Source organism: Homo sapiens, chromosome 1, assembly GCF_000001405.40.
Source record: "Homo sapiens chromosome 1, GRCh38.p14 Primary Assembly".
Lineage (NCBI taxonomy): Eukaryota > Metazoa > Chordata > Mammalia > Primates > Hominidae > Homo > Homo sapiens.
In genome coordinates this window covers 72,528,678-72,543,255 of record NC_000001.11, presented here as the reverse complement: position 1 = coordinate 72,543,255, position 14,578 = coordinate 72,528,678, and the positions used below count along the sequence as shown (strand labels likewise).

The following is a 14,578-nucleotide window of genomic DNA, read 5'->3' as shown; positions in this document are numbered from 1 at the left end:
CATGCCAGCCAAAGGTAGAGAAAACACTATAAGTGGTGAAACAATGGGATCCATGAGATCAGAGAAGAGGAAATCCACGGAGGAAATCTTGGGCAGGCCATCCATGTTTAGGTGGAGCATGATAGCCACTGTCCTTGATGGATGGGGCCTACCATGTGAGTTCAAGGATGCCCTGAAAATGCTGAAGGGTCCAGAAGAGCCATTGCAGGGGTAGGATCTAAGTGAAAGTTGGATGTCCGAGCTGTGGCAACCATGGTTGGATGGCCACTTCTGACTGCACACTGAGCAGCCACTGAGGCTGAGCTCACAGCATAGGTGAGAGTCCCTCAGTGACAGGATGAACTGTGACTAGAAAGAGATGCCTGATTAGCCCAGGTTGAAACATTGGAGACTTTACTGTCTCACCTGTGGGCATAGGATGACAAAATAGAGACCCTGGTTTGTTAGGTAACCCTTTGAAGGGTTGCTGACTCCCATGCCAATGGGTTAGGGCTATCATGACTGAATCGTCTTGGGATCCTAAGTCTTGAGACCCAATGGAGAGCCCTAGTGGGGACGAGAATGAGGAAAGGGATGAAACCTAGAGGTTCCCATCCTCTCTTCCCATCCCATAGTCGCTTCTATGATGGGAGTAGCCCTGCAAAGCATACCCCCACCTAAAAGATGACGGCACTCCACAATGTGGGACTATACTGCTGTGGAATTGGTAGAGCTGGGAAATAGGTTCAGGCAGAAGGGGAGATAGTCAATTGCAGAGTGGTTTCTCCATCTGTGGGACATGGGAGCAGAGGGTATAATACCCTCCAGACTCAAGATGAGTAAAATGTTACAAATCACCCAGCCCTGAGGCAGCACCCTTATGATGTTAATAATTAGGATTGGGCCATCCCCTTCCTTAGCTGGATGATTGCAGGCTACAATGCAGCCTGGCCAAAAGAGGAAGACATTCCCATGTCTGATGCTGTATTACAGTAATAATGAAAGATGAATGACGACGAAAGATGCTGTCTTACGGTAAGCCCTCAGCCAGTGGTGTATCACAGTAGTGTGTATCCTGAGCCCCTTGATAAGACAGCCAATGTCTCAGGTGGCCCAAGCGGCTTCCAACTTAGGGGAAACAGAGAAGCTGCATAAGCAAGAGATGTGTACTGCTGGAATGAAAGACAAGGGAGCCAAAGGAAAGGATATGGCCAAAAGGCCCATTAGTGTCACCTGCTGACAAATATCGTGCAACCTGGTAGTGGCAGGGACACCTAGGGTGGAAATAAATAAACAACCTAATGCTTTTCTAGTTGGATTGTGGCAGAAGCTCAAGCCAGAACAGTGCTTCACTAAGGAGCCTCAGGTTCACTACACACTGCCCCTTCTTCAGAGGGATGGCAGATGCCAACCCCTTTAGACTAGGATGTAGGCTAAGACCTGGGAATCTCCTTAAGAGCAATGGTGGTCAGGGTGTCCAGGGACCAGAGGCCACATGTAGAACTAACTGTATATTAGTTACCTAAGAATAAACAAACTGTGCATGCCCTAGTAGACACTGCAGCCTAATGCACTCTCATATATGATAATATTCATCTGTTCCGAAGGCCTATAACAGCAATAGATGGTTTTAGAAAGGGGGCCATGGAAGTCAGATGGGTTGAACCAGTAGTACTAGTTGGGAGACTGCCACCAAAACTCAATGTAGTATACATTGCTCCCATCCCAGAATGCATCTTGGGAAAGGATATCTTATCAGGCTTGACCCTCCAAACAACTACTGAGAAACTCTCTAAGAGTTAGGGTGGTGAAGCAAGTGGTGAAGTGATGAGGGGAACTCAAAACGGACACCAACGGTGCAGTTGCCAGCCCTTCAGGGAGTAGCAGTGGGGTGTGGGCATGATGAAATCACAGGAACTTTTAAGGAGTTAGGTAGGCATTATAAGGTCAATGCACAGCCCATACAACAGCCCTGTAAAGTCAGTGTGGAAGCCTGATGGGACATGGAGAATGACAGTAGGTTAGTGGGAATTAAATAAAGTGGTACACCAATGTATGCAGCTGTTAGCAATATCACCTCCCTTCTGATGAGGGTAGAAGCAGTGCTTGGCACACACCATTTTGTTATCAATTTAGCTAAAGCCTTCTTCAGCATCCTTAATGCCCTAAAGAGTCAAGACTAATTTGCATTCACCTGGGAAGGAGAAAAACGAACCATTATCATCTTGCCCTGGGGATATTTGCATAGCCCCGCCATCTGCAATGGCCCAGTAGCTGCAGACCTCAGTGGTTGGACTGCCCTGAAGTGGGCACAGGTTTTCCATTACATTGATGACATCATGCTAACTTCTGAGTCTTTTTCCAGCTTACAAACTGCAACCCCCAGTTTTCTGTGTCACTTGGCAAAAGAGTATGGGCAGTCAATGCAAAGTCCAGAGTCCAGGTTTATCAGTTAAATGCTCGGGTGTCATCTTTTCGGGTAAGACTAGTCACTCAGTCTGTGTTTATAGATAAGATGCAGGCCTATTCATGTCCTACCATACTGAAGTAGTTGTAGACCTTCTTAGCCCTTATAGAGCATTGTCAACCTTTTATTTCCATCTGGCCCAACTCCTTAGGACCTCATACAACTTAGTCAAGAAGAGGGCTATGATGGTTAATACAGTGTCAACTTGATTGGATTGGAGGATGCAAAATATTGTTCCTGGGTGTGTCTGTGAGGGTGTTGCCAAAGGAGATTAACATTTGAGTCAGTGGACTGGGAGAGCCAGACCCACCCTCAATGTGGGTGGGCACCATGTAATCAACTGCCAACATGGATAGAATAAAGCAGACTTGCTGAGTCTTCTGGCCTTCACCTTTCTCCCTTGCTGGATGCTTCCTGCCCTGAAACATCAGACTCCAAGTTCCTCAGCTTTTGCACTCTTGGAATACCAGTGGTTTACCAGGGGCTCTTGGGCCTTTGGCCACAGACTGAAGGCTGCACTGTTAGCTTCCCTACTTTTGAGGTTTGGGGACCTGGAATGATCCACCAATGGCTTCTTTGTTCCTTAACTTGCAGACAGCCTATCATCAGACTTTACCTTATGATCATGTGAGTCAATTGTCCTTAATAAACTCCCTTTCATATATACATATATCCCACTAGTTCTGTCCCTCTAGAGAACCCTGACTAATACTAGGGCCCACAGGGATTGGTCTACAAAAGAGAATGAAGCCTTTTAACAAGATAAAGACACAGTGAAATAAATACAAGTCTTGGGAGTTCTACGGCAGTGACAGCCTTGTTAACTGGCCAGTTACCCTGAGGGGCTTGGGTAGGGCCTATGGAAGAGGCAAGGACATCAAAGTGTGCCTCTAGGATTCTGATCCCAATTATGGGAGGAGCTGAAGTTAGATATAGTGTCATAAAACAACAATTCTGTGCTACCCAGTATACCTTTCAAGTGGAGGACATTACAAAGGGGGCCCTGGTGCACCTGGTACCCCATAGCAGGTTGGCTAAAGGATACCTTTCAGAAACCAAAGTCTGGGAAACAGACACAGACTGTGGCCAAATGGCATGCATACCTGCAAGACAGGAGCATGTTAACTAATAGCCTCTTGAGCACAGAGCTTGTTTTGGTACTTGGTCCTGTCCCCTGTGTGACAACTAACTGAAGGGCAGTCTTTGATTAAAACCACTGAACATCGACAGATTTCCTCCTTTGTACAGCAGGTGGGGTGGGGGTAAACAGGGCCCAGTTCCTGACCAGGCCTGGTATGCAGATGGCTCATCATGAAGCAGTCCTTGCTCTTGGACAGCCATGGTCACCTACCTGTCCACTGATAGGATCTGGCTTGATACAGGTAAAGGACATAGTAGCCAATGGGCTGAGCTGGAAGTGGCCTGGATGGTCTTCTTCTATGAGCCAGACCCAATAGTCCTATGTATTGATAGTTGGGCCATCTTTAAAGGACTCATGATGTGGCTACTACAACGGGAAGCAAAGGATTGGACAACAGCGGGCCACCCACTTTGAGGCACTGACATATGGAAGGACATGCATTCAGGGGATGCATACAATGGTGTGCCTTATGGATACCCACACTGCATCTACACCACCTGGAAATCAACAGGCAGATGAAGTAGCCTGTGTTCATCTCCTTGTGGAAGCTGCCATAGAAGATGTAGCTCACTGGCTGCATATAAAGACAGGACATCAGGGACAATGTACCCTTTAGGCTATAGCAAATAATCAGGGCCTGCCACTATGATATAAAGACATAGTGCACATCTGTTAGCAATGTCCTGCCTGTGTGCAGGAACTCCCCAGGCCCTTGCAGCATGATACTGGACAGAATGCCAGGGGCCGGGGCCCAGTGAAATGTTGGCAGGTAGGCAACACATGACAATTGCCTCTATCTGATGGCTGCCACTATGATTTGACTTGTGCAGACGCATGCACGGGGCAACTGCAGGCATATTCCGGCAAGCATGCTGCCCAGAAATCCACAAAAGGACTAGAGCTGCTGTGCACAGCCTGCAGTGTCCACACTGATATCAACAGTGACCAGTACAGGAATAGGCAGAGGTCCTGGATATCCACTGGCATTTCCACCTGCCATACAACCCTACATCAGCGGGGCTAATTGAACAGATGAATGGACTGTTGAAGCAACAGCTCTGGCAGGAGACACACTCTCTGGCTCTGCAGACATGCTGCTTACCAGCAGCCATCCACACCCTGAATAAACAAGTTCTCTTATCAACCCAGCACATATACTCTTCTAATGCAAGGGTCTGATACCACCATAAGGATCCAGGTAGAAAGTATAAGGGACAGTACACCTTTACCCTAAGCTGGTACTTTCGGTAACCTGCTATTGCCCTTGCCACAGGACCTACCCACTGGGGAGCAAAATAGTATGTGGCCCTGGAAATGGCAAATCGGCCCGCGATAGTTCAGCTTTTCTGCTCCATGGGAGGAAGGGCCTAGAAAACCATGTAAAGGTCACACCTATTTTACACCCTACTCTCCCTTGTACTTTTAAAATAATGAATTCTTGTCCTCCCTTGTGCAAAGAGACAATCATCTTATAATGGAACTTTTTAACTACCCCATTGTCTTACTCTGGCCTTTTGTAATGCATCATGGCTGGGGAGGGGAGGTAATCTATTTGGTATTATAAATCAGACACCAGGACACTACCAGGGGTGGTGCTCTCTCAGAATGTCCATAAATGGTGTGCAGCAAACCTCTTCGTCAACTGGGTGCAGATGGTGGTCTCTCTCCAGAATAAAACAGCCCGTTGGGTCTGTGAGGAGCTGCCTCTCTCTTCCACTATGGGCCTGCCATGGCACATCCAAGCAGCTAACCTGAGTATCTGAAGCCTCTTCCATATGTGGTATAATGACCCTCACTTGTTTCTCTTTAGCAACAACAGCACCTCATGCAGTGAATTCCCCACCATTAAGGAGATGAGACCACATATTTTCCACATAGATTGGGAGAAAATTAATGTTATCCCCACTGTGTGGTAGGCTGTATATGATGAGCTAGGGTAAATGATGGCACTGCAGACACAGGTAGTGAGTTGTGCACCCTTGTTTGCAAAATTGTATGGCTTTGGACACCTTAAGTGCTGCCCAGAGTGAAACCTGTGCATTAATTAAAACTGAAAGTTGTGTATATATCCCTGATTACTTTCACAACATAACCCAGGCCACGCAGGCCTTAGGTACCCATATTTCTGTTATAGAATCTCTGTCTTACAATCCTATAACCATGTGGTTTACTCAACTCCAAAGCTCTTAGAGAAACTTTGCATGCAGTATGATTGTTATTAAGTGTATTATTTGTTTTTGTTGTTGTAGTTTGTATTATTGCTGTGGCATCTAGAAACAATGCTCCTGTACATACCTGACTCCAGGGGAAATCATGGAAGAATGTTGTGATGACAGTGTGAGGCCCAGTCAAGGGTATGTTAGCGGGGGACTGTTTGGCAGATGCACCTGACAGCAATAACTTAAGCATAACCTGAGAATGACCCTGTGTGACAGACACACCTGACAGCAATAACTTAAGCATCCCTCAACAATGACTCTATGGTCTAAAAAGAATATGTGTTCAGAATTCTGAGCTAAGGAATCTGGGAGTGGACAATCCAGATTCATTTCTTATCCATGAGGAATGAACTCGGGCCCATCCTGTGGAGCTCAGGCCATACAGGGGATGGAGGAACTTTGATTTCGATAAAATAAAGGTTGCTAGGTGGAGGGCACTGAGTGAAAATGCTATATATACTTCATGCCTTTTATAAGCAGTTGCAGTTCTCCTTCCAGCCCTCTGCCAATGGACCACCCTCATGTAAGTTCCCTCAATCCACTCTATGTCTTGTTCCTAGGCTCCAGGTCTCTTCTCCAGCCTCTTGGACAAAGTACTATCCCTATTGAAGTCAGTAGGGATCTGGCACAACAAGCCATATCTGTGAGCCTGAAACAGAGATGTTAGTATTCAGGAAAGCTACTAGAACTTACAGTCTGTGAATTATGCCACAACTCTAGGTTGCCTAAGGCAGTCACCTGGGTCACCTTAATGGTGAGAGTCACTTTGGCCTCTAGAGAATTCTCAAGGTTAGTTTTCAGAAACATGCAGAAAGAGAGAGAATATTAAAAGAAGAAGCAATCACTGTTTGAGCCGGTGACTCCCAAACTTTAATGAGCATAATAATCATGTGGAGGATTTTAAATAAACATTTTTTAATTCCACCCCCAAGAGTTTCTTTTTCAGTAGGGCTGGAATAAGGCCCAATAGTTTGCATTTCTAACAAGTACTCAGGTGATGTTATGCTGCTATGTAAAGACCACATTTTGGAAAACACTGGTTTAAGCAGATCAAGCTTCATTCTGTTTCAGAACTTAGAGTGTAAAAGGGGAAACAAAAATGTAAAGAAATCAACAATTCATAACCCATGAACAAATAAAAGGCAGATATAAGACAACATTTGGGCTGGATATACCTGGATAAAGTTAATACTAAGCTAATTATTCTTTATTATCAATGATTTTCCTGGGATAATCTATTTTCAAATGGTGATGTGCAGTTACATACAATGCTACAAATTGAGTAGTGATTACATTTATAAAAATCATCCCCTTAACTATCTGGAGTCTTTTGCCTTTTCCTATAAATTTCAAGATTTTAAAAATTCTATTTCAGTGAAGAATGTCACTGGTATTTTAATAGGAATTGCATTGAATCTGTAGGTCACTTTGGGTAATTTGGACATTTTAACAATATTAGCTCTTCCAGTGCATGACATGGGCTATCTTTTCATTTATCTGTATCCTCTTCAACTTTTTCCATCAATGTTTTATAGGATTTGTCATAGAGATCTTGCACCTCCTTGGCTAAGTTTATCCCAGGGTATTTTATTATTTTTTGTAGTTATTATAAATGGAATTATTTTCTTGATTCTTTTTCAGGTAGTTCACTATCGATGTATACAAATGCTATTGATTTTTGTATGTTGATTTTGTATCCTGCAGCTTTACCAAATTTATTAGTTCTAATGGAGTTTTTGGTGAATTCTTTAGAGTTTTCTCTGTATATGATTACGTCATCTGCAAATAGGGATAATCTTGAGAAAAAAGAACATAGTTGGAAGTATAATACCACCTGACTTCAAAATATACTACAGAGCCATAGTAACCAAAACAGCATAGTACTGGCATCAAAACAAACACATAGACCAATGGAACAGAAGAGAGAATGCAGAAATGAGTCCATGCATTTACAACCAACTGATTTTTGACAAAAATGCCAAGAACACACATGGGAGAAAGAACAGTGTGCAATAAATGGTGTTGGGAAAACTGGATATCCACATGCAGAAGAATCAGACTAAAGTCCCATGTCTCATCATATACAAAAATCAATACTAAATGAATGAAAGAATTACATGTAAGACCCAAAACTATGAAACAACTAGGAGAAAACATAGGGAAATGGCTCATGAAATTGGATTGGGCAAGGATTTCTTGAATAGCACCTTAAGAGCACAAGCAACAGAAACAAAAATATACAAATAGGAGTACATTACATTAAAAAGCTTCTGCAAAGCAAAGAAAACAGTAAGTGAAGACACAAAAAATAGGAGAAAGAATTTGCAAACTATGCATCTGACAAGTGGTTAACATTCAGAATATATAAGGAATTCAAACAACTCACTTCTTAAAAGAAGACACACAAATGGTCGACAGATACATGAAAAAATACTCGATATCAAAAATCATCATAGAAATTCACATGAAAACCAAAACAATATATCACCCCTCTCCAGTTAGAATGGTTGTTATCAAAAAGACAAAAAATAACAAATGCTGGTGAGGATATGGAGAAAAGGAAATTCTTATACACTGCTGGTAGGAATATAAATTAGTGCAGCAATTTTGGAAAACAGTACGATAATTCCTCAAAAAATTGAAAATAGAACTACCACATAACCTAGAAATCTCATTACTTCGTATATATCCAAGGAAAATAAAATGAGTATGTTAAAGAGACATGTCCACATCCATGGTTATTGCAGCAGTATTCAAAGTAGCCAAACTAAGGAATCAACCTCAATGCCCATCTAATGATGAATAAACAAAGAACATATGGTACATATATGCAATGAGTACTATTCAGCCATAAAAAAGAATGAAGTCCTGTCATTTGTGGCAATGTAGATGAAAGTGTAGGGCATTATATTAAGTGAAATAAGCCAGGCACAGAAAGACAATATACTGCATGATCTCACTCATATGTGGAATCATAAAAGTTGATATCATAGAAGCAGAGAGTAGAATAGTCATTGCTAGAGGCTGGGCAGGGGAAGAGAAAGGGGGAGGCCAGGAGAAATTGGTCAAAAGGTATGAAAGTACAGTTACACAAGGCAAATCCGTTTTGGTGTTCTATTACACGATAAGGTGACCATAGTAAATAGTAATATAGTGTGTATTTCAAGGCAACTAGAAGAAATGGATTTGAATGTTATTTTCACAAATAAATGATGAATATTTAAAGTGATGGACATAGTAATAACCCCAATTTGATCATTATACAATGTATACATGCATTGAAACATCATATTGTACCCTATAAATATGTATAGTTATGTGCCCATTATGAATAAAATTAAATAAAAACTGAAACTAGAAGTAACTTTTTAAAGTCAACCCTATTTTGAAGTGATATTTTTGACAGGCAACTTTCTACCAAATTGTCTATATAAGTTACAATTCTTTTTTAATAAAAATATCTCTTATTAACTTTTTAAATTAGGGTAATTTTGAGCAAAGGAAAAAATATGCAATTTTTGTAACATGACCATATGGGCTTAATCCTTCTCAAAATATCTATTTAGAATCAGCAGGATTTTTAACTGCATGATGGTAATTATTTCATTGATTTGACAGAGGTTCCCACAGCTACATACCTTGTCCCTGTGTTGACTTCTCAACAATCACAGTGAGCTATTGAACACCTGTCGGGAAGGAAAATGTGTAATGAATTGTGGGAAATAGCATGAATAAAATGCCCTAAAATCTAAAACCTCAATGCCTTACAATGTGTTTTAAGTTTCTCTCCTCTTTTATATTTCTCCATCTCTCCTCATCTCTCTCAATATCCTACCCTCTCCTTTCACACAAAAAGATTAACAGATACTGCAATCCCAAAATTACACCTGATAAGTTGCACTAGATATTTCTCCAATTCTCCACCTTTTCCATTTCCCTCCTATTTCCTTATCCTGTTTTCATCTTTGCCTTTCGTAGTGACCAACAGCTGGCTTTGGCAGGTGTAGTGGCTTATCTTACTTTCATAATTGGGGCAGTCAATCAAAACAGGCAATTAAAACTGTAGTTTGATATGTATCCGTATGCATCAATATTTAATGTATTTCCCAAGGGACAGCTGAATCTAAAGGTGATGGGAGTATGTGAAAAAATATATAACATATACAGGATGAGTATTGCTTATCTAAAATGCCTGAAATCAGAAGTATTTCGGATTTAAAATATTTTTGGATTTGGGGATATTTGCATTTATATTTTAAAATATCTTGGGGATAAGTCTAAACACAAAATTTATATTTTTCATATCCTTCTTACACATATAGCCTGAAGGTAATTTTTATATTTCATAATTTTGTGCATAAAGCAAATTTTGACTGCAATTTACAATCTGTCACATGGATCAAGGGTAGAATTTTCCAGCTGTGGTGTCATGTCAGCTCTCAAAAACTCTCAGATTTTGGAGCTCTTCAGGTCTCAGATTTTTGCATTAGGGATGCTAAACTCATATAGGCATACCTTAGAGATAGGAGTTTGTTTCAAGACCACCACAATAAAGCAAGTCTCCCAATTTTTTGGTTTCCCAGTGCAAATGAAAGTTATGTTTACACTACACTGTAGTCTATTAAGCGTGCAATAGCATTGTTGTTAAAAAATATTGTTCATGCCTTAACACTTTATTGCTAAAAAAAAAAAAGCTAACCTTCATCTAAGCATTCAACAAATCTTAATATTTTGCTGGTGGAGGATCTTGCCTTCATGTTGATGGCTGCTAACTCATGGTGGTTACTGAAGGGTGAAGTGATGTAAACTTCTTAAAATAAGGCAGCAATGAAGTTTGCTGCATCTATTGACTCTGCCTTTCATAAAAGATTTCTCTGTAGCATGAAATGGTATTTGATACCATATTATCCACAGTAGAACTTCCTTCAAAATTGGAGTTAATACTCTCAAACCCTGACTCTGTTTGTCATTTAAGCTTTTGTAATAAATTTCTACATTCTTTGTTGTCATTTCAACACTTTTCACAGCATCTTCACCAGCAGTAGATTCCATCACTGCTTTCTTTGTGCATCCATAAAAAGCAACTACTCATCCCTTCAAGTTTTATCACTAGATCATAGAAATTCAGTCACATCTTCAGTCTCCACTTCTAATTCTAGTTATCTTGCTATTTCTACCATATCTGCAGTGATAAGGTTTGGCTGTGTCCACACCCAAATCTCATCTTGAATTGTAGTTCCCATAATCCCCACATGTGATGGGAGGGAGCCAAGGGGAGGCAATTCAATCATGGGGACAGTTACCACATGCTGTTCTCATGATATCGCACTCATAATAGTGAGTCTTCACAAGATCTGATGCTTTTATAAGGGGCCTTTCCCCCTTTACTCAGCATTTCTCCCCTTTTGCTCTGCACTTCCCCTTCCTGGCGCCTTATGAAGGAGGTGCCTTACTTCCCTTTTGCCTTCCACCATGATTGTAAGTTTCCTGAGGCCTCCCCAGCCATGCTCAACTGTGAGTCAATTAAACTTCTTTCCTCTATAAATTACCCAGTCTAGGGTATGTCTTTATTAGCAGCATGAGAATGGACTAACACATGCAGTGACTTCCTCTATTGCAATCTTGAAACTCTCAAAGTCATCCATGTGGTTTGAAATGACTTTTTTCCAAATTCCTGTTCATGTTGATATTTTATTTTATTTTATTTTTATTATTATACTTTAAGTTTTAGGGTACATGTGCACAATGTGCAGGTTAGTTACATATGTATACATGTGAAAATGCTGGTGCGCTGCACCCACTAACTCGTCATCTAGCACTTTTACACTGTTGGTGGGACTGTAAACTAGTTCAACCGTTGTGGAAGTCAGTATGGCGATTCCTCAGGGATCTAGAACTAGAAATACCATTTGACCCAGCCATCCCATTACTGGGTATATACCCAAAGGACTATAAATCATGCTGCTATAAAGACACATGCACACGTATGTTTATTGCGGCACTATTCACAACAGCAAAGACTTGAAACCAACCCAAATGTCCAACAATGATAGACTGGATTAAGAAAATGTGGCACATATACACCATGGAATACTATGCAGCCACAAAAAATGATGAGTTCATGTCCTTTGTAGGGACATGGATGAAATTGGAAATCATCATTCTCAGTAAACGATCGCAAGAACAAAAACCCAAACACTGCATATTCTCACTCATAGGTGGGAATTGAACAATGAGAACACATGGACACAGGAAGGGGAACATCACACTCTGGGGACTGTTGTGGGGTGGGGGGAGGGGGGAGGGATAGCACTGGGAGATATACCTAATGCATGTTGATATTTTAACCTTCTCCCATGAATCACAAGTGTTCTTAATGGCATCTAAAATCGGGAATTGTTTCCAGAAAGTTTTTATTTTACTTTGGCCAGATACATTAGAAGAATCATTATCTATGGCAGGTATAGCATTACAAATATATTTTTTAAATAATATGACTTCAAAGTTGAAAGTACTCCTTCATCCATGGAGAAGGATGTTGTGTTAGCAACCATGAAAGCAACATTCCTCTTCTTGTGTATTTCCATTAGAGCTCTTCAGTGACTAAGTGCATTGTCACTGAGCCATAATATTTTGAAAGGAATCTTTTTTTCCTGAGCAGTAGATCTCAACACTAGGTTTAAAATACTCAGTTAGCCATGCTGCAGTCAGATGTGTTGTAATCCAGGCTTTGTTTTCCTATTTATAGAACACAGGCAAAGTATATTTAGCGTAATTCTTAAGGGCCCTTGGATTTTTAAAATGGTATCTGAGCACTGGCTTCAAGTTAAAGTAACAATCTATATTAGCCCCTAACAAGTGAGTAAGTCTATCCTTTGAAGCTTTCAAGCCAGACATTGATTTCTCTCTACCTGAGAAGGTCCTAGGTGGCATCTTCTTCCAACAGAAGACTGTTTCTCCTACACTGAAAATCTGTTGTTTAGTGAGGCCACCTTTATTAATTAGCTAGACCTTCTGGATAATTTGCTGTGGCTTCTACATCATCACTTACTGCTTCACCTTGCCCTTATTATTATGGAGATGATTTATTTCCTTAAATCTCATCAGCCAACCTCTGCTAGCTTCCAACTTTTCTTCTGCAGCTTCTTCTCCTTTTTCAGCCTTCATAGAATTGAAGAGGGTTAGGTCTTTGCTCTGGATTAAGGGAATATTTTGTCTGGTTTGACCTTTTATCTAGACCATTAACACTTGTCAGCAATAAGGCTGTTTTGCTTTCTTATCATTTGTGTGTTTATTGGAATGGCATTACTAATTTCCTTCAATAATTTTTTCTTTGCATCCATGACTTGACTAACTGTTTAGTTCAAAAGGCCTAGAATTAGGCTTTTCTTGGCTTTCTACCTGTCTTCCTCACTTAGTTTAATCATTTCTAGCTTTTGATTTAAAGTGAGGGTCGTTCAGCTCTTCCTTTCAGCTGAACACTTAGAGACCATTTTTGTGTTATTAATTTCAATATTGTTGTGCCTCAGAATAGGGAGGCCCAGGGAGAGAGATAGGAAAAAGGCTTTAGGTGAACTAATCAGAACACACACAATATTTATTCATTAGATTCACTCTCTTATATGGCTATGTTTCATGGTTCTCCAAAACAATTAAAATAGTAACATCAAATATCACTTATCACAGATCACCATCATAGATGTAATAATAATTCACAAGTTTGGAATATTAGGATAATTAACAAAATGTGATGCAGGGACACAAAATGAGCACATGCTTTTGCAAAATGGCATTGATAGGTTTGCTCAATGCAGGGTTGCCTAAAAACCTTCAATTAGTAAAAAGTCCACTATTTGCAAAGTGCAATAACATGAGGTATGCCTAGGCAGTCACAGGTAGCCAATGATAGCGACAGACATGGATTCCAGGGAAGGTAAAGTAAATATGAGAGAGGTTTGATAATTAATTGATTAAAATTGATCAATAATTTAATAGAGAGCATTTAGAGAAATGAGAATTATTATTGTTATTGTTGTTCTTTTTACTGTTATTTTTGAAAGAATATAATTGTAAGTCAAGAAAATGCATATTATCTATAGTGCTCACTGTAATTGAGTTATTTCTCCATGAAATCAGGTAGTTTTAAAGGACAATTAAAATCTTTAGTAGTTTGAGAAGATTTATCCATGGTAAAATATGGAAAACAAACTTTAACATATGATCTCAACAGAGGCAGGCATAAGAATTATTATATAATTACTTTGGATTTGCATATTACAGATGCAGAATGATGGCTTACCAAATATGGCAGGGTCAAGTAGAAAAAATGTAAAAAAATCACAACATAGAGTTAATGTTCTTAATACATAAAGAGTACTTAAAAATCACAGAATGATTCTTTTAACAATAAGTAAAGAATGCAAGCAGAAAATTTTTAAAAGGTATTGCTCAAAAATATAAAGAAATTTAGACTCACTTTCAACTAAAGATATATAAAATGAAATGAGAAACCATTTTATTTTTACAATCAAAATGTCAATAGGACAATTTTAAAGAAAGATTTAATTCCAGTCCCAGTCATTTTGTACAAAACATATAGCTTCCCTTACTTCTTGTATAATGAGGAAATTAATGATATTTTCCAGCTTAATCAGTTTTGTATAAGCACTCTCATACATTAGAAGTAGAAAGAAAAACTCATATGAAATTTCAGTAGGAAAACTTAACAACTTGTTCAACAAACTATAAAATATAAACTTCTTTTTGGAATAA

The 14,578-nt window shown here is 39.9% G+C and overlaps 1 long non-coding RNA gene across 4 annotated transcripts in view; it reads right to left on the bottom strand.

The window, feature by feature from the left end:
• LOC105378797 (uncharacterized) overlaps positions 1-14,578 on the bottom strand; it is a 396,491-nt gene that overhangs the window by 136,169 nt on the left and 245,744 nt on the right. For 3 of the 4 annotated variants that reach the window (XR_001737670.2, XR_947505.3, XR_001737671.3), the window contains one exon: positions 9,445-9,492. The exons of the other annotated variant lie outside the window; for it this stretch is intronic. This is a non-coding gene — a long non-coding RNA (uncharacterized LOC105378797). The remainder of the gene's footprint in view (positions 1-9,444; positions 9,493-14,578) is intronic. 4 annotated transcript variants of the gene reach the window in all.